General features: G+C 42.3%; 1 protein-coding gene across 1 annotated transcript in view; it reads right to left on the bottom strand.

Annotated features, from left to right (window-relative positions):
• CACNA2D3 (calcium voltage-gated channel auxiliary subunit alpha2delta 3) overlaps positions 1-26512 on the bottom strand; it is a 952006-nt gene that overhangs the window by 314223 nt on the left and 611271 nt on the right. Inside the window, exon 12 of the mRNA NM_018398.3 lies at positions 7658-7736. Coding sequence (NP_060868.2) covers positions 7658-7736 — 79 coding nt within the window. The remainder of the gene's footprint in view (positions 1-7657; positions 7737-26512) is intronic.

Raw genomic sequence — 26512 nt, 5'->3', positions numbered from 1 at the left:
GGGCCTGTGCACTTGCTGCCCTCTGCCTGGGACACCCTTTATCCCATTTTCCATGTTTGGTTCCTTTTTGTCACTCAGGGCTCAGCTCAGATCAGAGAGGCCCTCCCTGACATTCCTGTCTGAAGTCACTTCCTCTCCCTTCACCCTGCATCAGTCCCTTCAGAGGACTCATCCATCATTGGATTCTCACTTGCTTATTGTGTTCTCTCTAACTGGAATATTAGCTCCACGAAATGATTCAAAAATCCCCACCTTGTTGGGAGCAATATTCCAAGAACAGGGAGGGAAGGTATGCAGGAGCCATTAGTAAGGTGGGAACATTCACTGAGGTCTTACTGAGATCCACCTTGCCTTTCTGCATGTGGGCCTCACAATGGCCCAAAGCATGTGCTCACCGTGTAGGGGAAGAAACACAAACTCTGAGTCAGTAATTTGTCCTGGATGAATTCGAATCCAGGTTCATTTGATTCCAAAGCCTTTGCTCTGAACCACTGAAGACACTGCCTCTTTCGCTGCTGGGAAGGGACAGGAGAGCAGCTCAGAGCTCCTCCCCCAGGAGGGTAACTCTAATGGGCTATTTGCGTATTGTAGCTGGGGAACTCTGAGGATGGGGATGGGGCAATATATGACTGTCCTTTGAGCAATGAGCAACAACAAAGATCTACTCAAACCCCAGTCTATAGTTCCAACTTATATTTCACTATGTAGACCAGGGATGCAGATGTATAAAAAGGTAAGAAAAGATAAAATTTTAAAAATAATATTGACAATAACAATGTATGCTGCAAAGCTTATGCACATTTGATTCCAACTCATTAAAGTTTAAAATCTTTCTGAGCCTTTTTTTTTTTTTTGGTTTTTAAATGTCTTAGTATAAGTTTTAGTTAACAAATGATGGATAATAGGAAATCACTAAGGGCTAGAATCTGGCTGTAACCATAGACACTTCCCTTGTTTTCCCTCTGTATTCTCTCAGCTGGCCACTTTCCCTCCCCTTTCTCTCTGTTTTTTTCCTGTTAAATTCTAGGTCTTGAATGTTTATTCTCTTTTTTAATGTGCTTTTTTGGACCTCATATATCATGTAAGAAAACAGAATCAGCAATGATTCGGTAATTACCAAGGAGCAATTAATGCTGAAGTTAGCCACCTATTACAAATGGTCTGCTCGTTTTTCTCTATAACATCAATTTATTTACCTTATTCCCTTGCAGAGCTCCTTCTGTGAACTCTGGGTTACAAATACTGCATGTGATAAACCATATGCAACGCAGTGCTTTGTGTTTCTGAGATATTACCCTTACTTGGGGATTTTTAGAGTCTTTTGCCTCAAAGCTGCCTGAGCATGAGAAGCTCCTGTGGTGAATCATTAAATACTCCACTTTGCAATGACCAGATCCAAGGGTACCAGGAGTCTGTCCTCAGTGGGCAGATCCTAGCTGTCTACCTCAAATAGTGAGGTCCTCCTTCCATCTTTGGAGTGACGGGTGTAGCTTCCTTTGATTCCTTTGAGTTGTTGAGTCTTTCCAAAGACTCTTCCCACCTTAAGCAAGGCAGGCAGAAAACCTGAGAGCCAGCACCAAAATATCAGTCTCCAGAGGGTGCCGAGGTAAGAATGAGATTTAGCAGGGCAGTGAAGGTGATGCTGTGGCTTCCCTGGTTTGCATTCCCTATGAGCAATGGTGTTCTTGGAAGACGCTCCCAATACTGTGTTCTGTGTCATCTTCCTCCTCCTCCCTGTCAAGATCACACACTACTGAAAAAAACACTTATTTCTATAGAAAAAGGTACAATTTATAAACAGCTTCCTACCTCCCTGTCTTCTCTGACTTCACAAAAAACAAGCAAGAGGTCTGTTGAGTGCTGAGAGCAGAAGAACCCATATTCATGGTGTTGGAGAGAATGGACATTGAGGGCAGGGAGCCCAATGGTCTTGGTGGGAGAACCGCACTCCTGAGCAGAGCTCTCAAAATCAGCTTGAGCCTCAGATCAAGGGACACATCTTTTCCTTTGTGACTATGACTACATTTTAATTTCTAACTCCATGTTAAAAATACAAGAAAAAGAAGAAAACAATCTAAAGGTACACACTGGGGAAATAGGAATGCTGTCTCCTTCTTATAGCTCTGTGGCTACACCCATCACACCTTGCTGTGGTTTCTCCTGGTCTCGTCTTATCTACAGCCTTAATGTCCCCAACTCTGAAACATCAGGACCTGAACCATACCACTGTGCAAGCTGAAGCAGTGCCATTTCCAGAACATACAGGCTGGGCATAAATCCCAGCTCTGGCCTTTGTTAATTATGGCACATTGAAATCCTTTCTCACTCTCTAGTTTTCTTTTCCTAGATTACCTCAAATGAAGAGAGATATGTAAGAGTTCTCTATGAATCACAGCTTTCTCCTCTCCAAAGAGAAGCAGCCTTACATCTGATGAAGAGTTCAGGCTGGGGCTTTGGATCACCTGGGCCTAAATCCTAGCTCTACCGCCTGCTGGCTGGTAATCTGGAACAAGGTGCTAGTCTTGCTCAGCCTCAGTTTCCTTCTCTGTAAACAAAAATAATGATAACAGTACCTCATAGAGCCTTTGGGAGGATCAAAAGAGGTAATGCACAGATGTACTCTGTTCTATGCCTGGCACTTAGTGAGCAGCTTGTCATCCTTAGTTGCTGTTTTACGGTAACAGCAAGCATCACCATCTTCATTCCCACTCAAAATCTCTGATTCTAAGGAATGTGTGCAATGAACTACAAAAAGGTATTTAAATAGCTGCTGTTTGTGCCTTCCTTCACCTCTCTTAAAATAGCAAAATGTTTTAATTGCCACTTTTCTCCTGCTGTCGCCTATGACCATTCCGGCCTCATAAATGTGAAGCTATCTTTTGGGGGACACTACATGTGGAAAGATATAATGAGGTTAAGAATCTTTTTATTGAAAAAAGATTAGGAGCTGGACCTTCCAGGAAGTCTCAGGCCACCAGTTCTCTTTCAGATAAGGAGAGAATGACCTTTAGCCCATGGAAAAGGGGTAAGCTAAGCAGACGACAACACATGTGGCATTTCCATTGGACCTGACGATGACTGATCGGTTGAGAACCCAAACATGGAGGCCCTTCTTTATTTGCACAGCTGGAAAACACTCCATTAACTGTGATTTCTGAAGGAGAATCAGCCAGTGCTTATTTAAAATCTTGGCATACTGAATGTTAGAGAAGGTCACCATGGCTTTGTGAAATGTCTGGGCTAGTCGGTAGTCGGCCCTCTTTTCTGTTTTCCAGTTCGCTTATTTTTGAAATAGTGTGAACGCATAACTTTAAATTCCACCAGCCATTCTACAGTGGTAATGATTGTTTTAATGTATGTAAAATGGCTTGCTGCTTTGTCTCATTAGGGTTGGTTCCCTCAAGACAGGACCTACTTATGCATAAAATGAAATAAACTCACAAGCTCCAGGCCTCCCTGGATTTTGCTGGTAGACTGGAGGAGGCAGAGAACTATTGCAAGGGGTACGAATGTCCCCAGACATTCATTTCCAGAGGAAAGTGTCTGAGATCTGCTAGCTAAGAACTGTCTCCATGGCTACCAGACTCCCAAGGAAGAAGTCCTGCACTGATAGCAGGTCCTTGACCACTAACTCAGGGACAACGTGAGAGCCCTCATGATTCTTGCTCCCTCCCAGGGTCATTCTGTGGTCAGGCCCAGTGCGTTAGTTCTGCCTCCTTCGACGCTCCTTGGGTCTGCTCTGGTCCCTGAATGCTAATGCTTCATTTCACTGCAGAACTTGGCTGAGTCAGGGTGAAAATATGTAAGGGGGCCCTCTGGACCTCATGACACTTGAGATGAAAAATGTTATGCTGCCTCCATACTATAACAATCTGAGACTATAAACAATGATTTAATTAATGACCATAGAAGAATACTTGCTCACCGATGTTACATGGTCCAAAACCCCTTAACTGACGCAACGTGAAGCCAATGTTTATATGGGCACAGATGACTGGAATATCACATTTTGATGGCATTGCTACTTTGAAGAGTGGCAAACAGTGACATTCCCAAGGCTCTTTACATAGAAGCAGAATGAGGAAGATGAAACGATCAAGAAGGGCTGACTCTGGTAGGAAGGGAAATAACTGGATGTAGACAGGAAGGGAAGGAGAATTATTATGGAATCCACAGCCTGTCCAGCCAAGCAGCTACTATTACCTCCCTGGATTTTCTGCACTGCTGTACTCAGAACTTATAAATCCTAAAGGCTATATTCTATAGCCAGGCCCTAAAATACTCTGAGTTGACTAAACTGTCTTCAAAAGGATGCCTCAAAGATTCTTATAAACAATGACTAAAACTAAATTATGGTGTAATATTAGTTGATTAAGACAAGACTTCAATTTCAGTAATTTTCATCAGCTGGACACAGACAGTGGTAAAAACAATAACCCATGACTAAATGCATACTAGCTGATGGAAGAATTGCAATCTGATGTGGCAAGAAATAACAGCAAATTTTTTTAAAAAAAATTAAAAAATGGAAAGGAACTCTTTTTTTCAAGACCACAGAATAAAGGAAAAAATGGGAAAAGTATAGCTAACTCAAGGTTTTTAAATGTCAACAAAGTTCCAAAACTAATTTCAAGAAAGGCCTCTTCACTCAGAGGAAATCTGGGATCTACTCGGCCTCCCTCTCCTCTGCCTGTGTTCTTCCTATAGTTCTCCCTGAAATGAGGCCAAATGTGTAACTCTGAGACAAGCAGAATTATTGATACCTTTTAGTGAAGCAAGCCAGACAATGAACGAAACACAATTGCAGAAGGTGTTATTTTAGAGCTTCAAGGATATGTTAAAAACTTCCATGCAGCCCTTCCTTTTGTAGATGAGGAAATTGAGCCTTGCTTAAAAGACTGTTCAAATAGAAGCAGATAATTAAAGAAAATGCCAAGCAAAGGGAAAGATGGGTGCAGGTTTAAGAGCCTGGCTGTTCACCTATTCTTGGAGAACTTTCCCACACTCCCATCCACAATGCTGAGCCCCCCCACAGAAGCATTTATTTCCCCATGGGCTTCCTCTGCCCACCCCCAATTCAGCAGGGAGGAAGAACTGGCCCAAGCTGGGTACCATAATCTCTTCAAAGGGGTGAGGAGAAGGACGTGAAATCAGAATTTAGATTTGCTAGTCAGCCTCAAACGGAAAAGATATAAATACTCCTTTCCGATATTGTGCCTTGCCCACAGTATTGTTGCGTGGATGGATGGGCATGCATGGTATGGGGTGGCCATTCCTGGCTGTATGCATGCCATAGTACGGAAGGTCTATCTACAAGGAAGAAGAATGCCATGGACATGTCAGAAGAAACTGAGAAGGAACAGAAAAACACAAACACGTCTTCCTTCTCCCTTGTGAGACCCAAGCTTCCCTTCCTACCAGAGTTCTCAGTCACCCCCCTCTCTCCAAAATGCCCCCTTTTTTAATTTCAGGGAACAACTTTGGTGGCTTGCACCTAAAACAACTTTGTCTTAGGCCATCAAAACTGGAGCTAAGACCCACAAACCCTTCACTGAGTCCTCTTTTCTCCACTGAAGTCCAAACACTGGAACTTTTATGAAGGATGGCTTAGGAGACCCATTTAAAGCAGACCACTGAACCAATCTACTATGCAACAGGACCTACCTTCCTTTATTAGTACTTAGAGTCAACTTACCTATTTTTTCAAACATCAAAGGAGCACCCACTCTGGTACGAGGCTGGGCTGTGTCAGAGCACCCAAGATGAAATAAGAGTCAAAGGCTGCTCTCATGGAGCTTGTAGCCTCAGAAGGGAGGCCAACAGGACCCAGAGATCAACATAACACAAGAGAATAACTCAGGGCACTTACATACCAGAGCCAAGCTACCAACTTTATTTATATGGCATCATGTCATGCCCACAACATGTGTGAGGGGAAGGTATTGTCACTACCTCTGCTCTGTAGATGACGTGACTCAGATCTACCCAGATAGGTTTGGTAACTTGCACATAGTTGGTGGATAGTGACTGCTCGACTTGGATACGACTTGGATACAAGGAGTCTGGACTCTCCTCCCTATTAACTTGCTATGCTTTGCCTTCTTGGCCATGTGTAAAATGAAAAGAAGGCCTTCACAGACTGGGCAGCCCTATTACTTCCTTCCCAGTGCTGTCCCCAAACTATTTGTTTCTGACATGCAACAGGGAATTGGTAATCAATTAACCTTATGAATATAAAAAAGCTAAGGATTATTGAGCACTTATTATGTCCTAGTATTGAACGAGGCACTTAATATGCACCATTTCGTTAATAAGAATTAAAGGAAGAACTGGATACAAACTTTCAGTTAGACAGAAGAAATGAGTTCAAGAGATATATAGTATAACATGGTGACTATAGTTAATAACAATGTGTTATATACTTGAAAATTGCTAAAAGAATAGATTTTAGGTATTCTCATCACAAATAAATAATAAAGATGTAAGGCAATACATATGTTAATTACCTTGATGTAGTCATTTACACAATGTACACATACTTCAAAACATCATGTTCTACACCATAAATATACATAATTTTATTTGATAGTTAAAAAATTAAAGGAAGAATTATTATTACCATTACCATTTTGAGTATTAGAACATTGAGGCAAGTTAAAGTTGACCAACTTAATTAGTAATGTACGTAAAGTTATGCTATAAGAACATATCAAACTAAAAATCTCAGTGGCTTAACATAAAAGTTTATTTGTCATGAACACTATTTATAATCCAGTGTGGGTTGGCAGATGCAAGGGGCAGTGAAAGTCATCTGCTCCATGTGCTCACTCAGGGACCCAGGCTGATGAAGGCTGCTGCATCTCGTGACTGTTCTGTCTGGACCATGTACCTTCAGAGTTCACAAGAGCAGAAGAGAGTACCAACACCACCACACTAGCTCTCAAATGCTTTAGCCCAGAAATGACTCAGGTTGATTTCACTCCCGCCCTATTGGCCAGAACCAGTCTTGAAGCCCCACCTATAGGCAAGAAGGCTAGGAATGATGAGAGAGCATACGGATATTTGATGCACAGTAAATGTCTCTGCCATAGCAATTCTCCCAAGGCTACTCAGCTACTAAGCAGAAGAGTGGAAAGGCTTAACCACTCCACTTGACTATGTCCTCAAAATTTGGCACTGGGCATAGTGGCTCATGCCTGTAATGAGGCCACTTTGGGAGGCCAAGGTGGGCAGATCACTTGAGCTCAGGAGTTCTAGACCAGCCTGGCCAACATGGCGAAACCCCGTCTCTACTAAAAATACAAAAATTAGCTGGGTATTGTGGTGCACACCTGTAATCTCAGCTACTCGGGAGGCTGAGGCACAAGAACTGCTTGAACTCGGGAGGCGTGGTCTGCAGTGAGCTGAGATCGCGTTACTGCACTCCAGCCTGGGCAACAGAGCAAGATTCTGTCCACAAAAAAAAAATAAAAAAAAAAAGAACAGAAAAAAAAAAAACATAATTTGGAAGAAACCGTTACAAGTCTATCAGTAATCACTTAGATATACCCAGACTTTATCTTAGAATTATTAGAACTCTCTACTTTCTCATGAATATTCCTAATTCTGCACAAGTAGGTGGAAGTTATTCAGAGCCGAGCACAATGCGAAGACCCACCTTTGTTGGCACAGGCCATCCACTTTAGATTGTCTGCAAACGCAGCCTCTCGTCCAATGAGGTATGTGAAGATGCGAACCTGAAGGGAAGACAAACGCATGGCTGAGCGGCATTCACTTTTCGCCATCCTGCACAGATCACATGCATGGCTCACACACATGTGGCTTACCTCTTTAATGCTCCATGCTTCCCATCTGCAGGAACATATTTAAGACATCTGAAGTATAGTCAGCTAGAAATGTACTCAAAATTGGGGCCTTTGATCTTTTAAACCATATGGCACTGGTGGTGGTTGTTTTTTGGTGCGCAAGTCAAAACAGAAGAGAATAACTGGGAATGGGAGACTGGCAGCCTCACAGGCCTGGGCTTGCTCCACACATATGGACAAGGATCATCTAAGTCTGGACCAAATCCCCAAGCATTTTCCCCATTCACACAGGAAATGCAGAGTGTGCTCTTCTTGGGAATAAAAATGCCCCTGAAAGACCCTCGACATTTCCCTCCAATGGTGAGGACAGGCTGCAGACACTCTCTTACCATCTGTGGTGTCTGGCATGATATTAGAAGATAATTAACTGGGATGAGAGACACAGCCTGTGGCCAGGAGATCTATGGAGACTCTTTCTAGTCTTCCTAAGCTTTTGGTTCCTGAAGAGCAAAAAACAAATGTAAAAACCTGGCTTTCTTATTTTCTACTGGTTTCTCAACCCTCTCTTATGAGGTCAGAACTCTTTGAAACAAAGCATGACCTACCTGCCAGATGGTACTTAAGGTTAAATGGAAGAAAGATAAGGAATGAAAAGGTTAAAATCCTTTAATTCAATTTAAAATGGTATGTGGGTCAATGCCACACAGTCCAAACAAAACCCTTCGGATGGGCCATGTGCAGCCTGTGGCCACCTCTTTGTGACTGAGGTCAGTGAAGACATGGCATTAGATGAATGACACTCAGCAGGTGGTATCAAAGGCTTTACCAGGTGATGTCCTTCCAGCTCCTCTAGTCTGATGGGTCAAGTGCTCCTATTGCTCCTCCCCAGCCTTTGCTACAATTGTGGTTAGCTAGCATTTTGTGTAGCTGGTCTGTGAAGTCGATCTGCTCCACTAGAGTATCCAGTTGACTAGGGAAGGAAGGGATGTGTCTCCTTTACCTGGCTGGGCCCTGATGGAGCAATGCACTTGGAACATTGATACTCAATACATGAAGAGATTAAAAAAAACACAAAAAACGCTTACAGTGGATTATAAAAATGAATATTCTGTTTTAATTATGCATATCCTCTAATCTGGGCATTATAACTTGAAGGCTAGTTGTGAGGTAATGGTTTCTTCCTAATTTAAAGGGATATGTAAATGCACGTTATTATTATGGAATGTCAGTCTGTGCTCATCTGTGCTTGGTAAGGCCATTACTTTATTTATCACAGCTCCTGCAAGGGGATTTCTGGGGTGGATGGGCAGGCAGACAGACCTCTCTCCAGTCCTCTGGCTCTTCTCCACACCATTCCCATCAGAGTCACATTTGGGAGTGAGGATACGGTTTTTGTTTTGTTTTGTTTTTTAAATTGGGAGATTCTGGCTTCTCTTGGGGGGAAAAGAAAGCAAAGATCCAGCTGAGCGCAGTGGCTCACACCTGTACTCCCAGTACTTTGGGAGGCCGAGGTGGGCAGATCACGAGGTCAGGAGATCGAGACCATCCTGGCCAACATGGTGAAACCCCATCTCTACTAAAAATACAAAAAAATTAGCTGTGCATGGTGGCATGCATCTGTAGTCCCAGCTACTCGGGAGGCTGAGGCAGGAGAATTGCTTGAACCTGGGAGGCGGAGGTTGCAGTGAGCCGAGTTTGCGCCACTGCACTCCAGCCTGGTGATAGAGTGAGGGCCTATGTCAAAAAAAAAAAAAGCAAAGATCCAGCCTCATATTGCCAAAAGTGATTACCACTGACCCTCCTTCATATAGCTGCACCCCCGTTCACTTTCTCTGCCTGTCCACTGTCGGCACTTAACTGAGAATCTCTGATTGAGGGGAGAAACTGAGGCCCAGTTAAGTGTTTTGCTTCATTTCATCAAAGTTGCAGCTCATGAGAGAAGACTTCTAAGACCTCAGGATAGCACTGGTATCTGCTTTCAACCTTTGGGAGATGCTGGTTTGGTCAATACAGAAGATCCCAACCAGCTCCAAGGCCCAGAGCCAGCACCCACAGAATCCAGGATGAACTGGAATCAAGTCTCTTGAGACCAGACCCATGCTTTCTCATAAATCTTTGTCTTTAATTTCAAATTTAAGCTCTTTAAAGGGGAAACACTAGACCGACAAAAACTTGTATCCCCACTGGCTCCTTGGCAAGCAAGAAGCCTAAGAGATGCCTCTGAGGAAATGAAGCTATGAGTCTATCTTCATAAGCAAAGACCCAACACAAAACAACCCATATTTTTGAGCAAAAGTGGCTGTGAGTGCCAGCCTCCTCTGCTGTCTAGACGAAGAGCCTTCATATAAACTGAGTTCTCTTGGAGACATAGTTAAAACTCCAGAACAATACTGTGAATCACCAGCAAAACTTCTACAACTCCTAATTTAAAAGATGGCAACCTATTTGGAAAACCAGTAGAATTGTGCCAAACTTCAGATCAGACATGGCTGCTTCAGAATAATTATGCTAACAATAACCATAATAATGAAAACCATCACCATGTCCCCTACCTCACCAGCACAGTCCTACCACGACCACCACCACCACTGTGGCTGCTACAATCAGCACCATCCCCTGGGTCAGGTAATGTACTGAGGGGTTTATGGGTATTATATTTGTTTCATTGGTTTGTATGTTATTTTATTGCTTATGAAAGAAAATCAGAATAATGTTCAATATTTCCACTGATTTGTAGTCCTTGGCTCCCAGTACACTGACCTCCTTATCTGAGCAGAAATGGCATGAAAATGACTTGTTGCATGTCTGCCTACAAAATAAACATAATCAAAGGATGCTGGGTTCACGTCCTACATCTCTCACAGTAATGCCTTTCAACTGACCACAGAAGAAAAGAGATTTTACTTTAAAGTAGGAAATATTTTGGAGAGAAATTTAATAATAGCATTTTATATTTGCAGGTTTTTTTTTCACACAGTAATTCCACCCTCAGGCATTTATCTTATAGCTGGAATAACAAATAAAATGCTTATGGGGACTAAGAGGTAACAAAAAGGACAGAAGTGGTAGAAGAGAGTACATATTTTCTGGAAGCCCTAGAATTCAGATTTAGACATTTTCAAAAATACACAATTAAAAGTACAAGGATGTTCACCTTCATTACTTGTAAAGGTCAAAAACTGTTAAATTCTAAGTCTTTATTGATAGCTGACTGGCTACAAGTTCATGGTACATTCGTGTAGTGGGCTACCCAGCAGCTATGTCCTCATCCATGATGTACTGGTAAAGGTAAAAAGCAAGTTGTGGGTTTTGTGTAGCACAAAATTCTATTTTTTTCTAAAAGTGGCCTCATACTTTTTACTTCATAAATTTTATACCATTTTACAAACTAGCATTGCTTTAATAATTAAAGATCATTTTAAGTGAAAAGAAAGTAATGACATTGCTACTTCCTGAACAATTCTGTTACAACATAGGAAGAATAAATGTTTCAGTGAAAATCAAACACAAAAAAGAGATGACATGTGGAAATTAAGTCCTGGCCTTGCATATTCCAGTTAGTACTGCCTTACGCTACTGCTCATTTAACTGAGAGCAAAACCTCTGTGAACAACAGTCAAATTGCTCCTAATTTCCATCATTAACAGATTCTGTACCCTAATGGATTTTATTTCCAACAACTGGAGTTTCTTCCCTAGGAAGCACCACGTAACAAACTTTCAGTGGTCTGCCTTGAGCCCAGCTACTTTTCAGATGCAAGGAGTGTGAAGCAGAGCCAAATCTGGGGTGGTCCTGAAGGCCAGGTGCACGGCACAGACAACCATGGGAAGGTGCTGTGACATAGTTCTGGAATACACCAGAGCTCCCCGGAAAGCCAGGCTTTCATGCTCATCATCTGCAGGCATGGAGCGCACCACTTTCATTAATGCAGCTCAAAGGCAGGGGTGAAAAAAAAAAAAGTCTGCATCAGCCTCTTCGCTCATTTTGATCTCCCACTTAAGTTTGGATGGTCTTTAAATGTTCTACAAACCCAATTAAGCTTAATAAAATGTTAAGATGTAGACTTTGAAAGTTCAAAGTCACTTACCTTAATCTACTTAGTATAAAACTTCCCCAATGGAACAAACAAAAAACTCATCCAGATTTTTTCAAAAAACCGATTATGCTTTTTACTCACATAGAAGCAATCCCTATCAGAAACTGAGAGGGGTACCCTTCTTTTTAACCTTTGGTGAAGATAGATAGTCTGTAAAGATAATGAATCAAATTTTCTCCTTTCTGCAGCCATTAAAATTAGGGGAAGGAAGTGGCTACCAGGAGAGTTATATGGGGCAATTGCACAGACAGAAAATAGGCTGCTGCTGCCTGCACATCTCCCTTCAATAATGAAGAAAGCTTGTGTTTCTGAGAGAATCCAAGAGGAGTAGTTTGTCATCTATCACGTGTAACTCATGAGTGACTACTATGTGCCAGGGACCATTCTTGGTGCCAGGGCTACCATGGGTAAACAAAACAAATTCTGCCCTCAGGGACTTCACATTTTCTTGGGAGGGAAACATAATAAATGGCAAATTCATAGAGAATGTTTATGTATTTGTTGAATTAAATGCTGATAAAGAAAATAATGCAAAGTAAGGTGATGGAGAGTGATGGGGGCTGCATTTTTAGAAAAGGAAGATGGGAAGGTCTTCCTGATAAGATGGCATATGATCAAAGATCTAGACAAAATGGAGTGGGGGAGAAGGAACAAGCCATATAGCTAATGGGAAAGAGCATTCCAGGTGAAGGGAACCAAAGGTACAAGGTCCCTGCGACAGGGAAGCTCCAGGGATATTGAAGGGGCTCGTGTTAATGGAATGCAGTCACCTAGCAGAGGTTGCAGGAAATTAACTTGGAGATACAATGGGTGCCACATCATGTGGATCCCTGCAAGCCACTTTTCCTTTTTTTTCAGGAGAGATTGAGTAGAAGTCTGACATGAGCTGATACATAATGTAAAAGGATCATTCTGGCTGCAGGATAGAGCATAGGCCATGAACAGTGCACTCAACCTGGCTGTCCATTCCATTATCCTATGATAATCTTATAATTCTGAATGCCCATGTCCCATCCACAGCCATAGAGAGTAAGGGTAGAAACAGAGGTAGTAAGTAGGAGGCCACTACAATGTTCCAGGTGAGAGATGACTGTGGCTCTGGCCAGGGCAGTGAGAGTCCTCAAACTTCACAAGGCATCAGTATCACCAGGAGCCTTGAATCACATGTTGAAGGTGGAGTCATAGCACCCACCCTCCCGAGGTTCAGAATAAAGTAGGCCCAGGGATATACATTTTAAAAAATGTCCGTGGGGTCTGACCCAGGTAGGCTGTGGCCAACACTTTAAAAAATGCCACCAAGCAGATGAGGTCTAAGTGAGACCAAACATTAAGAAATCACTGGAGCCATTTCCAGGAAAGCTATTCCTACAATTTACTAAAGATTGAGGCAAAACTTTAAGGAGTTTACAATCCAGTGGGTGGTTAAAAAAATAGAGAAGCTGGATCAAAATGACATTTTTTAAAAAGCTTGTGTCAACCGAAGAAGGCAGGATCATGAGACATCAGCCAGACTTGGCAAGCAGGATTAGCTAACTATACTTTCCTCTTTCCCCAAGAAAGGGCAGATCTGTACCCAGCTGTCTGTAGCTGCTGAGCTGGGTCTTCACAATCTTTGGAATTATAATAATTCCACTCTTGCTCCCAGATGCAGAGGAAAGGAAGGTTTGGAGACCAAGCACTTATGAGCCTCAAAAAACAGTCTATATTTTTATAGAAAAAAGAAGGTAATCTTTTATTTTAAAAAACATTTAACTACAAATCCATTCCTTCTACCTTTAAAAGCAAGCAAGTTATATGAATTATTTATGTCAGTGTCATTTGCTACCAAATCTCTTCATGACCTATCGGTGCCCACATTCATGGGTTCTAAATTTTAATTTAGCTAAGTGGCAGCCTCCGTATTAGGCATGCCTTCCTGACATCTTCCTGTCTTCTCACCTGCTCATGTCCTTTTGGACTCACTGCCCAACTCAGTTATTCCCTAAAATATTTCCAGGATTTCTCAAAATGATGAATGACTTCAGCTTTAGAAAGGGGTCTCCTGACATCTTTATGTTTTAAAGTCCATTTGCAGCTAATGAATATGTTCTTAATCTATATCTTCACAAAAGATATTACTAACCAACTTTCATTGTTATTTGCTCATTTCTATGATTTCTGGTACAGAGAAGCATTTCTGAATAAAATCCTTAATCTTTAAGCAGAAGATAAGGGTTGGAACCTGATTACTCACATAAATGCTTCATAAATCACTGCCAATATTTATCTTCATGAAAATTCTACAAGAGTAGAGATGGGCTCAAAGAAGGTTGACTCCAAAGGAGACAGTTATATTGAGCAGGCTGCTTTAATCTATAAGCCATCACGCTCATAATAAAAGAAGAAACATCCTTATCCAGAAGGAAGAGAAAGGCAACCATGGTAACGCTACCCTGAACAGCAATAAAATGGGATAAATTGAATTAAATTACAAAAGTAATAAAATTTCAACAAACGAATATCATAGATGATTATGAAAAATGGACTGTCACCTTAGGGACGCTCTAAGAGTCTATACAATCTCTTTTTCCCAAGCACAAGTGCCTGATACCTCAAGTGCGGTATTGAAAAAAAAATTCCAATTCAGAAAAAAAAATTATTCTTTGTAATCTTCTGGCCAAAGGGATAAAAGTCCAGTTCTATGGCCATGTGTTTTGTTAAGGTGAAGGAGACAGGTGTTTCTTGGCCATCCAGAGACTACGACCTGGGGTTGGTACAATGGAACACGAGATTACATACAGCTCAATGGAGCAGTAAGAAGTCAAGCTGCAAACATCCTTAAAGGTGTGTGATGCAATTTATTAGACTATCCAGCTCCACTGAATTCATTCAGAGGACAGGGCCAGTGTATTAACCATGTCTTTGGATTTTTCTGTAGTATTATTGCTCTGATGTCTGAGGCCTTATGACCTTGGAGGGACTCCCCCTCCTAGGGTTAGCTAATTCCTGGAGATAGTAAGCAACTGGCCTGCAAGTGCATTTCTGATACACAAACCAACCAATCCACAGCCCATGCCTCCAATCACCTCCCTTCATCAGGCTCTCACACTCGAGGTCATACCACCTGCCCTAATCACCCCAGGACCAGGTATCAGACAACTCGGGGCAGCCCCTCTACCCCAGTGCCCACTGAGATGATTGACTGTCCAACGCTAAGCCTGGTTGGCCTGCTTTCCCTCTTTCTTCCCATGGAAAACACAATAAAGGCTCCTGCCCTCTAGATCTCTCTCTCTGCCCACTCATCTTGCCTTGGCACTTCCCTGTGTGTCCCTTCATGGTATGGCATGCCTTCTGCTTCTAGGGAACTATGGATACAATATACTTCTTCCTTCATGACAATCATTTCTGTGTCTGTGTGCCTTATTATACCTGACTAAAACAAATTCCAGGTATTCTTAAAACGACCAAGTATTATTTGTTCCAGGTGGGTTCAATGCTACACTTACTGGCTTGGTGATCTTGAGAGAGGTATTTAAACCTACTGAGCTGTGCATGCACCTCCCCCAACATGGGGATCCTCCACCCACCCACCTCACATTGGTGATCAACAGCAAATGAGACAATGGATGCAAGGACAGGCCAGAAGCACCAAATCCCATTCAGTTAGAGTTGCATCCCACTCACATTTCAGATAACTTGCTGCAGTGAAACTAAACAAAGGGAGCCAAGGAAAGCCAAGTCTTCCATCCATAGATACTTCCCTCAGCCTGCCCAGAAGTTTGGTTGAAGAGGAAGCTGACTCCTGTGGGTGAAGAATGGGATTTTTCACAGGGGTGGGTTTTGACAAGCCATCCAAGGATAATGGGGTTGACAGTTTCTAACATAATCAGGAACACTAGAGCTATAATAACAATTACAACTTTTATAACCCTTGGAGAGTCAAAGGATCCACTGAGAACTTGGCAGTGGCTATAAACCTTCTCCTACCTCTGACTTCCTCCCCGCAAAATCCAAAGTCTATACACTCACAATTTCAGATAAAATTCATGAGGGTTGGGGCATTTCCTCCACCAAAACCCAGGACTGTCTAAGAACATCTGGCTCCCAGGTTAAGAACCCTTGTCTTATAAATCTCTTGTATTTTGCACTATAAATTCCTCAAAATCAAAATGGTTTCTTTGGATGATCAAGATGGGCCCTCTTAGTGGATGTGCTCACCAAACTGAGAAAGTTCATTTGGTCATTTACATGCCCATTCTGCGACAGTTTTGTGCAGAGCAGATATCAGCTATTCACATTCAGATCCAGAATAGTCATATCAGAAGTGAGTCCTCTACATAGAGGGACATTGTGGAGAAATCAGGAGCCCTGAGACAGAATAGGCATCACTGTGGACCTTGGGTTTTTATGATGCACATCACATCATTAAGCCTTTGCATGACCACATGTAAAGGAGCAGGGATGGAAGGGACAGACAGACAGAACTGAGTCTGTAGAATCCAGCACAGTGCTTGGCAAAGGGCCAGCACTCAAACACTTGTTGATTGGCCAATACCATAAAACCCCTGTCTGCTGATACTAGGGATCCTGAAACAAACCTGTCTCCAAGCTTCAGGCTGCTGGACACTGCATGGCCTAGGATTTTTATGGCTCAGAAGCCCCGTCCTGCTTCCCTTGCCCTCCAAAACACTGAGAGATCAAGTGGTGACAGCCATTTGTTCATAGGTATGCCCCATCTCTCAAGAAGGATTACAGATTCAATACCATGAACAAAAAGTCAAACTAACATGTGTAAGGCCATCAAATTAACCAAAAACAGATCAGAAAATTGACTTATGTCAAAGGGGAATAAATTAATTGTTCCACAAATTGGGATGGCAATGGTTATGTTCATAAAACATCATGGGGCTGTGTCACTCTCTAGCTTAAAGCCCTCCAGTGCCTTCCCATTGTACTTGGAATACATTCTAAACTCCTAACACCACAGCTAAGATGCCCTGGAAGGTCCTGACCTTCTCCTTCTGGACCAACTCCTTCTGGCTTTCTAGACTTTCAGTCCACCTCTCCCACTACCTGGAGTGCCCCTCACCTCCTGTTTGCATGGCTAACCCTCTTTCATCCCAGTTACCGTCATCCTCATCACCCATTTTGTTTTCTTCATGATACTCAGTATATTCTTAAGTTATATTAATGGTTTATTAGTTTACTTATGTTTATTTCTACTTCCAAGCTGAAACACAGATGTGAGAGCAGAAGGAGGCACCCGTGCCCAATTCAGTACCTGGCATGGAGTAGATTCTCAACGAATATTAGTTACCCACCTTTTCTATCCTTTTCACAAATTTGGGAAATTAAGGGAAGTCAGCATGGGACATACTTGAATTTATCAGCATAGAGCTCATTCCTTCATTGCGACTCTATTTTCAATACTTTTCTATTTTTCCAGACTGATCTGTTATCAATCAGTTGAGATTTTACTTTCTCTATGCTCAGTTCCCATGATTTCTTTTTCTCCTGAAGCTCAGTGATAACATATGAGGAAATGGAGGTATAAAAAAGCTCTGATCTGTGTTATTACAGCCTCATAGTCAGGGACCAGAAAAAAGGTGTCTTAGGCAAGGCCTCCCATGGATGGAAGATCAGTATTATAATATTTCTTCTTAGGTGCCTGCCTCTTGATTCTAGATGGAAGCCATGCAAAGATTGAAGCCAATTGTATTTTAAATAACTGCCTGCTTCAGGGATTCCCTAGTAGGGAAAAGACTGCATCTTAAAATAGCAATGTGATGGTTGCTATTCCAAGCAGCTTTCAGTGGAAATCTCTCCTTTTCCCTACACTTTGTAACAGTGGACAGACGGCATCATTTCATGGAAGCCAGAGCTGAGTGGGTGGACAAGTTGGCACAAAGCAGTGGTTACCAAACAGGGCTAAGAATTGGATACCCCCATATTGAGAATCTGAGTCTTCCCTCAAATGAGCTGTGAGGCCTTGGGGTAAGTTACTTGATTTTATTTATTTATTTATTTATTATTTTTTGAGACACAGTCTCACTCTGCCACCCAGGATGGAGTGCAGTGGCTCGATCACAGCTCACTGCAACCTCCGCCTCCCAGGTTCAAGCGATTCTCATGACTCAGCCTCCCAAGTAGCTGGGACTACAGGCATGCACCACCACATTGGCTAATTTTTGTATTTTTAGTAGAAATGGGGTTTCGCCATGTTGGCCAGGCTGGTCTTGAACTCCTGGGCTCATGTGATCAACTCGCCTCGACTTCCCAAAGTGCTGGGATTATAGGCATGAGCCACCGCACCCAGCCCCAGCACTATTTGAAGTCGAGGCAGACAGACTGCTTGAGCCCACAAGTTCGAAACCAGCCTGGGCAACATGGCAAGACCTCATCTCTACGAAAAATATAAAAATTAGCCAAGTGTGGTGGTACTCGCCTGTAGTCCTAGCTACTTGGAAGACTGAATTGTCGGGGGCAGTAGTCAGGGTTGCAGTGAGCCGAGATCCACCACTGCACTCCAGCCTGGTGACAGAGACCTTGTCTCAAAAAAAAAATAAATAAATTAAAAAATAAAATAAATTTATATGAAAATACAAAGGAATGAGAATATCCAAAAACTCTCCTAAAAAAATAGGAACAAGGCAGGACAATTATCTCACTGGCTATCAAGGTTTATTGTAAAGTATGGTAATTAAGGCAGTGTGGCTTTAGTGTACAAATACAGAAATTGTCCAGTGGACCACCAAGGAAAACTCCAAAGCAGACCAACACATACATGGATCCCTAATTTACAACAAAGAGGACCACTGCAGAGCCTGGTGAAATAACAGTCTTTTTTTTTTTTATTTTTCTTATTATTTTTTTTTCTTTAGATGGGGTTTCACCATGTTGGCCAGGCTGGTCTTGAACTCTTGAGCTCAAGCTATCCACCCACCTCAGCCTCCCAGGGTGGCGTTGAGCCACCTTGCCCAGCAAGTTACTTGATCTTTGTAAGTCTCACTTTCCTTACTTGTAAATTGGTCAACATCATAGAACCAGAATGATGTTGTGAAATGGATCAAATAAAGTAAAATGTTTGGGACTTGAGGGGCAGGGAGGATTAATTCTGCAAAGGAAGAGAGGTCTTCTAAGAGGAGATCTCCAAAGGTGCCCTTTGCCTAGACCCTAAAGAGAGAAAAATAGAACAGAGAAACAGGGAAAGGTCTGAGAGTATAACGCCTGATGACATGACCTGGGTGTGTCCCTCTAGGCCTTAGAGAAAGGCTCCTCTTCCTTTAATGCTCTCCCTTCCCGCCATCCACCCCCACCATGAGTTTGTCTCCCTTTGCCTCCCCCTGCCTCTGGATCAGTGAGACCCCAAAGGCCCACATCAGGGTACACAACCAAGACCCACTTGGCCTTGGGCACAGCTGGAGTCCTTGTGATTTTCTCATTGGGATTTGGGGCCAAAGCCCCACAGTAAGAAGCCGCATGCCTCTGGACAGTGTCCCCTCTCGTACCACCCTGCAGAAGCAGCACAGCAGCAGGTTACAGGTCGAGGAGTCAGGAGTTTTGGATTCTGCCCAAATCATTCTCAGACTCATTAAAACCAACAGCTGTTGTGAATTCTAAGATAGCACAGTTGCCTTTTCCCAAGTTCTTGTCATTTCTATTTTCCCAACCCATCCTCCCTGTCACTAGGAATTAGTCCAAAATAGCAGTTTCCCCTGTCACCTCACCTACTGCCTTCTGGGACTTCTGTCAGTAAGAAAAGTCAAGGACTCATCAGTCAACTGGAAGGATATTGCTGAGGACAGTGTTCACTCTGTTTTACCTGTGATTCTCCAAAAGGCAGACAGGTAGGGACATAGCTCTTTGTGGAAGGGGGAAGGACAGATCAGAATGACTTGTGGGTTTTTGGTGATCTGTACGAGCTCACTTTCTGTATACCAACCTCTTGCCCTTCCAGGGACTCTAATAACCCAAGATCCTCAACTCCCACTATGGAAGCATGCGCCCCTGGCTGAAGACCCTACTGTAGGAAGCTGCCGGTAGGACTTCAGTGAGCAGTAGCCTCAGGTGAATAGGGTGGGAAGGCAAGTCAATGTTCCTGAGAATTTGGGGCAACCATTATCTTCTTTTTGAGAAGCCCCAGAGAAAGTTTATTTCTTACCTTCAGTCAGTAAAAGTTGTATTTTATCCTAAGCAATCATTGTGTCTTAATCTCTCAGACAGTGATTTGTACGGCTGTCCTGGTTCCCTCTTTGCAAGTGCAAACTGGCTCAAGCAGAGGGCTCAAATACCCCATCGGAGACTACGTGTTCTGTGGCTCCCCTGTCTTTGGTGTCCTTTTCTCCTTGCTGCTGACAACTGACTTGTGTTACCTTTTCTGTTTTATGTTTCCCATCCATCCACCCTCCCACCTAGCCTTCCATCCATCAAGTATTAACTGGAAATGCTAGATACTAAACATCCTGCTGCAGGCTGGAGGCACAATGGGGAGGAAAAAATCCATATGGTCTCTGCCCTTGCGGAAGTTGTAAGCTCTTGAAATACTTTTTATAGAATGGGGAAGGCAAAGGAATATGAAGAAAATATATGTATTTCTTTATACATATATAAAACTAAATGTAAATAGTTATATATATACACACACACATATATATAATTCCACACACACACACACACACACACACACACACACACACACACACATATATGAGGAGAAGGGCCTGTCATTCCAGAACTGGGTCGCTACTGCACCCTCCCCACAAAGAGCTTGGTTTCCCTGAATAGGACACATGCAATCTTGGACTCTATGGCCCCAGCTCCAGTTGATAAGGAGGATCATGTAAATGCAAAATCATCCTATTCCTTTTCTAAGCATAGTGCACTGGTAAGATGAAAATTTGAGGTGAAAAGAATCCCAATGTCTTCCCCAACTGTTTGTTCCTAGAAATAACCTTGCAGGCACTCTCCATGTTATTTTTTGTTTGTGTGTGTGTGTGTGTGGTTTTTTTTTTTGTTTTTTTTTTTTTTTTGAGACAGAGTCTCACTCTCCCTCTGTCACCCAGGCTGGAGTGCAGTGGTGGGATCCTGGCTCACTGCAACCTCTGCCTCCCAGGTTCAGGCAATTCTCCCGCTTCGGCCTCCCAAGTAGCTGGGACTACATGCCCACACCACCATGCTCAGCTAATTTTTGTATGTTTAGTAGAGATGGGGTTTTGCCATGTTGGCCAGACTAGTCCTGAAATCCTGACCTCAGGTGATCCACTCACCTCGGCCTCCCCAAGTGCCTCCACATTCTTTTCTTCTTCTCTGCCAAGTCTTTTTTTTTTCCTATTGAGACAGTCTGTCACCTAGGCTGGAATGCAGTGGCATGATCTCGGCTCACTGCAGCCCAAAGCAATCCTCCCATCTCAACCTCCCAAGAAGCTGGGACTATAGGCATGTGCCACCACACCTGGCTAATTTTTGTATGTTTTGTGGTGATGAGGTCTTGCCATATTGCCTAGGCTGGTCTTAAACTCCTGGGCTCAAGATAGCCTCGGCCGCCCAAAGTATTGGGATTGCACATGTAAGCCACCATGCCCAGCCCCAAGTCTTACACGTAAGAGAAAAGCAAGAAAAGTTAAGCAGTACTGGTCATACAATAAGTGGGAGAAAAAGGCATTGTGACAGATAAGGGCTGAAGAAGGTAGGATCATATGGGATCATAGATCATTCTTGTCTTCAAAGAGCTTCCTGTCAGTAGAGAAGCTATAAACCCATAGGCAGAACTTACATGGAAATGTATAGGGATGATGGCAAAGGGTGCTCTGCAAGGGAGCAAACAAATCAGGGAAATGCAAACCAAGAGGAACAATGTATTTTAAAAGAGAATAAACAGTCTTGAGAGCTGGCCTCTATCTTGTTTCCTTACCCTCATAGTTTTGTTTATTTGCTTGTTTGTTGTTTTTCTAGGGTCAGCATTTTTCATGGGAATCAAGAGAGGAGAAAGATACCATGTGCTGGAACTGAGTTGACTTTTTCAAAATGTTTCCTTCAGTTGGGAGACTAGGGACTGATCAAAGCCAATGGCTCTTATGACTGCAGGAAGTTCTGCAATCTTCCATTTTAAACATGGCTTTTTGGGAGACTAGAGCTTTTCCTAGAAGAGTAAGTTTGAGGACATGTCACTAGTACCCTATTACACTGAAGAGAGAAGCCAGATTATCTGCCACTTGGAAACTCACTCTTTCAGAGCACTGGGCAATTTCTAATGACAGCCAGTATTAAAAATGGTCCTAGTGAACAACATGGAGTGGAGAAACAAATGACTTATTTGGAACCTTCTTGCTAAAATACCATTCTGTGACTTCTATATCTTCTGCTAATATCCTAGTCCAAGCCACCAATGCCTCTCACTTGAAGAACCAGGTGGAACTCTTACCTGAGCTCTTCCATTGCTATCCAGCCCCAGAGAGAGCTTGTTGTAACAGGAATAAGATAGAGTCCCTCTGGCTGGGCATGGTGGCTCACACCTGTAATTCCAGCACTTTGGGAGGCCGAGACAGGTGGATCACCTGAGGTCAGGAGTTCAAAACAAGCCCGGCCAACATGGCGAAACCCCGTCTCTAACAAAAGTACAACAAATTAGCTGGGTGTGATGAAGCACACCTACAATCCCAGCTACTCAGGAGGCTGAGACAAGAGAATCGCTTGAACCCAGGAGGCGGAGGTTGCAGTGAGCTGACATTTCGCCACTGCACTCCACCCTGGGCGACAGAGTGAGACTCCATCTCAAAAAAGAGGATAGAGATCCCCGCCTTTGCTCACAGCTCTATAGAGGCCTTCCCTTATTTAAAATAAAAGTCAAAATGTCCTGACCCCTTCCCTGTTTTGTAATCTCACCTCCACTTGCCCCCCTACTCAGCCCCAACTGCCAAATTCCCAACCACCCTCTTCTTCCCAGGCTAGACTTGTAAAAAATTCCTTTGACACCTGAAGTTCTTTCCTGTCACAGGGCCTTTGCACATATTGCCCACCTGCCTGCTCTGCACTAAAACATTTTAACACAGCTATCTCCTTCCTATTTTTTAGGACTCATCATTGAACTTTCCACCTCCAAAAGACCCCTCCTCCTCTCCTTATCTATCATAAGTCCCCCTTTTTAGTCTCTGCCTTGGCCTCTGTTGGTTTTCTGCATAGCACATGGTGTAATTTACAGTTATTTTGTCTGTCCTCTTGTTATATTCTGTTCCCTACACACACACACACACACACACACACACACACACACACATATACACATGGATATAAGCTTCATGATGGAGATATATTAGTTTTGTTCACTGTTGTTTTCCCAACTGCTAATCCATAGCAAATACCCCAAAAATGAATAAGGTTATTGCATACAATTAAGCTAAGTGGGGATAATCCATCATGGTATAAGGAGTAAGAACATGCTAAAAGAAATAGAGGGATTAAATGAGCACTAAAGTACTAAAACCTAGCATGTTGAACATCAGCCCCAAACCTGGTACCATACATGATACGACTGCATTGAGGTGGTCACTGTCATCATTCTTATTTAACAGCTGAACAAACCGAGGATTACAAAGGGTGAGAATCTGTCCCAGGTCACACAGCAGGCAAATGATAGCTACTGGACCTTTTCAAGGCATGTGGGACCCCAAAGCTCATTTTCTTAATTGCTACATTATGACATGAGAACACAATAACAGGGCAAAGTGCATGAACCAGCAGATCCCAGAATACTACCCATGGCAACAAAAACAAATAAACAAAAGACAGAGAACAAGATGTTCAAGCTCACTTTTAAGCACCAATACAAATACAAGGTTTAAAGTATTTTTGTTTGTTTTTTGCCTATCAAATTGAAAATGATGTGTTAACAACAAGGGTATTGGGAAATATCCTTTCGGCTGGTGGAAATGTAAATTGGCATAAGTTTTCTGAAAATAACTTGACCACATCTATTAAATATTTTAAATGTGCATAACCTTTGACACAGCAATCCTACTTCTAGGAAATCAACACAAGGAAACAATCATATAAAGAAATGAAGATTTAGCAGAAAGAATTTATGTTGCAGTACTGTTCACATTACAGAAAAATTACAACAACCTAAACGTATCACAGAAGGGGATTAAATTATAGTACATTTAATCATGAACTTTCATGAAGCCATCACAAATAATGGCAAAGCCGATTGCTAATGACTTGGAAAGACATCACTAAATGAACAAAAGAGGTTACAAAATGCCCCATATACAGTCTGATCCCATTTATGTGTGTCTGTGTGTGTGTGTGTGTGTGTGTGTATATATATACATATATATATGTATATATATACATATATATGTATATATATACACATACATATATATGTATATATATATACATACATATGTATGTGTATATATATACATATATATATGTATGTGTATATATATACATATATATATATGTATATATATATACATGCATGGAAAAATAATGCAAAGATATATGCAAAAAGTGTCTAGTACCATAATCTCTCGAGGGTGGATAACAAGTGATCCCTGTTTCTTTCCCAGTATCTATTTTTTTATTTTTTTTCCAAATTTTCTAGAATTAACATGTAATGCTGTTTTCTATAAGAAAAGTATTTTGAAGAAAAAAATTCCACTCAATTCCATTTAATAAAAATTTACAGAGGATCTCCTGTGCAGCTCTGAGGTACTAGGAATATAATGGTGACCCAATCCCCAACTCCATATAGATGATATCCAGGTAGCAAACACATCATGCATGTCTTAAGTACAGATGCTTAAGAGTAGAAGCATAGATTATAGAGGTGATGTGCTATTAAAAGGAGCTCATGGGCATAAAGATGTTCTACTGAAAATTAATTAGAAGTACTACCATCCCCACAGTTCATCTCAACAATGGATTAGACCAACAGCAATGCGAAGGGTCATCCAGAGCTGCTGAGAACTGGCAAGTCCTCATTTATCTGTGTGTCTGCAGTGCAAAGCTTATTTCCAAGGGACTTCAACCTTCATTGCATTTCACGCTTCACCCCTTTGGAAAACTTCTGACCCAAAATGTGTCCTGTGCTCAATGTGATGTGTAAATGCTAGGAGTGATTGTGGGTATCTGAGATATGGGGGCAGAGCTTCCCAGAGGTCATGGCTTCTGAAGGCTCACCATCCATCTCTATTGTCCTAAGGGCACCAGGGAACAAAATCTAGACCCCAAAAGTGCTAGGGGAATCCACTAAATTCTGTGACTACAGAAGACTGCCTAAGCAGCAGTTCTGCCATTAAGAAGTCCAGGAAATGTGTAAATTCATTGTCAATACAGCTTTGCTGCTACTCTGGTTAACACAGTATTTTTGATCTTCTTTAGCGGCTGAAGAACAGAGAAGAAATGCTGGTGTGCTTCCTGTCTCCACGCTAGGGCAGAGAAAGACTGGAGGTAGTGCCTTAATGGTTACACTCAAACCTTGCATCCCTAGGCCTGAGGCCAGTCTCCTGCTTCAGCAGATAATGAGTTTGGCAATTTCTGATAGTCTTTTCTGGATGCTAATCCCCATCACCGAACTTCCATAATGCATGATATAATTTAACACACCTGGCAGACTCACCACCAGTTCATTCTTTTGTTATGTAATAGCCCAGAGTGAAGCCGAGGATGTTAATGCTCTGACAACCAGTTATTATCCCCAATAACAGGCATTTCCAAAGGATTACTGCCCTCAGAAACCATTTTGTAATAACTGGCAACTGGAAGACAATGTAGCAAAGTCAGATGGTCTTTGTGAGTTGCCATTTATTTCCTACCGATCTGCAAAGATGCTTCGAGCATCCCCAAATGAAACAACCAGGGTAGTGATGGGGTGTCACGCACCAAGATAAATCAGTGAAGTTAGAGGGATGCATGCCTTAGAGTTACTCTTTAGAGTCTTTCTATTTTTATAAGCCTTTTCATCTTTTCCCCACATCTTTGCCCTTTTTATATTATTCTGGCCTCCTAAAAGCCTGCTTCCAGGGAAGTTGCAGTAGTCCTGAGAGCTTTCCTGTGAACTGACTTCACTGCGAAGATGCTCTACCCTTGTGTGAGGCCCTGAGGGAAAAGGAGTCATGGGGTGAATTTCTTTCTGATATGCATGTCCTGACTTAACTGAGTCCCGCTTTAGGAAGATCATCTGAATTGGGTATGACAAGAGAAGAATGACTTAGTGTCCTCAGCATGCAACAGTTTAGGTATCAGCCTATGGCAAAGTCAGACTTTACTCAACACAATGCTACCCCGTTGCTAAGCCTGCCCAGCCTCTTGGACAACGATTTCCTTCCAGGGAGCAGTTTCGCCAGACACAAATCCTCTTTTAAAAATGCCTATGAATGAGATATCTTCCTTAGGATAGTTCCCCAAAACTATTATCCAAATGATATGCACTCATAGCATCCAAAGTCAAACTCCGAATTCTGAAACATCAAGAAGGTGCTTTTTTTTTTTCAATCTCACTGCTACAATAAAAATCGAGTTCTTTGTACTTTGTGCAGATGGCATAAATCCCAGCTGTTTGAACTTGGGCTACGTGTTCACTGATGAAATTAAATCGACATCATCTTCCTTTATCTTGACAGTTCAGACC

Source organism: Homo sapiens, chromosome 3 (genome assembly GCF_000001405.40).
Source record: "Homo sapiens chromosome 3, GRCh38.p14 Primary Assembly".
Lineage (NCBI taxonomy): Eukaryota > Metazoa > Chordata > Mammalia > Primates > Hominidae > Homo > Homo sapiens.
Note: the sequence above shows the minus strand (reverse complement) of the source record. Positions and strands in the feature narration are given on the sequence as shown.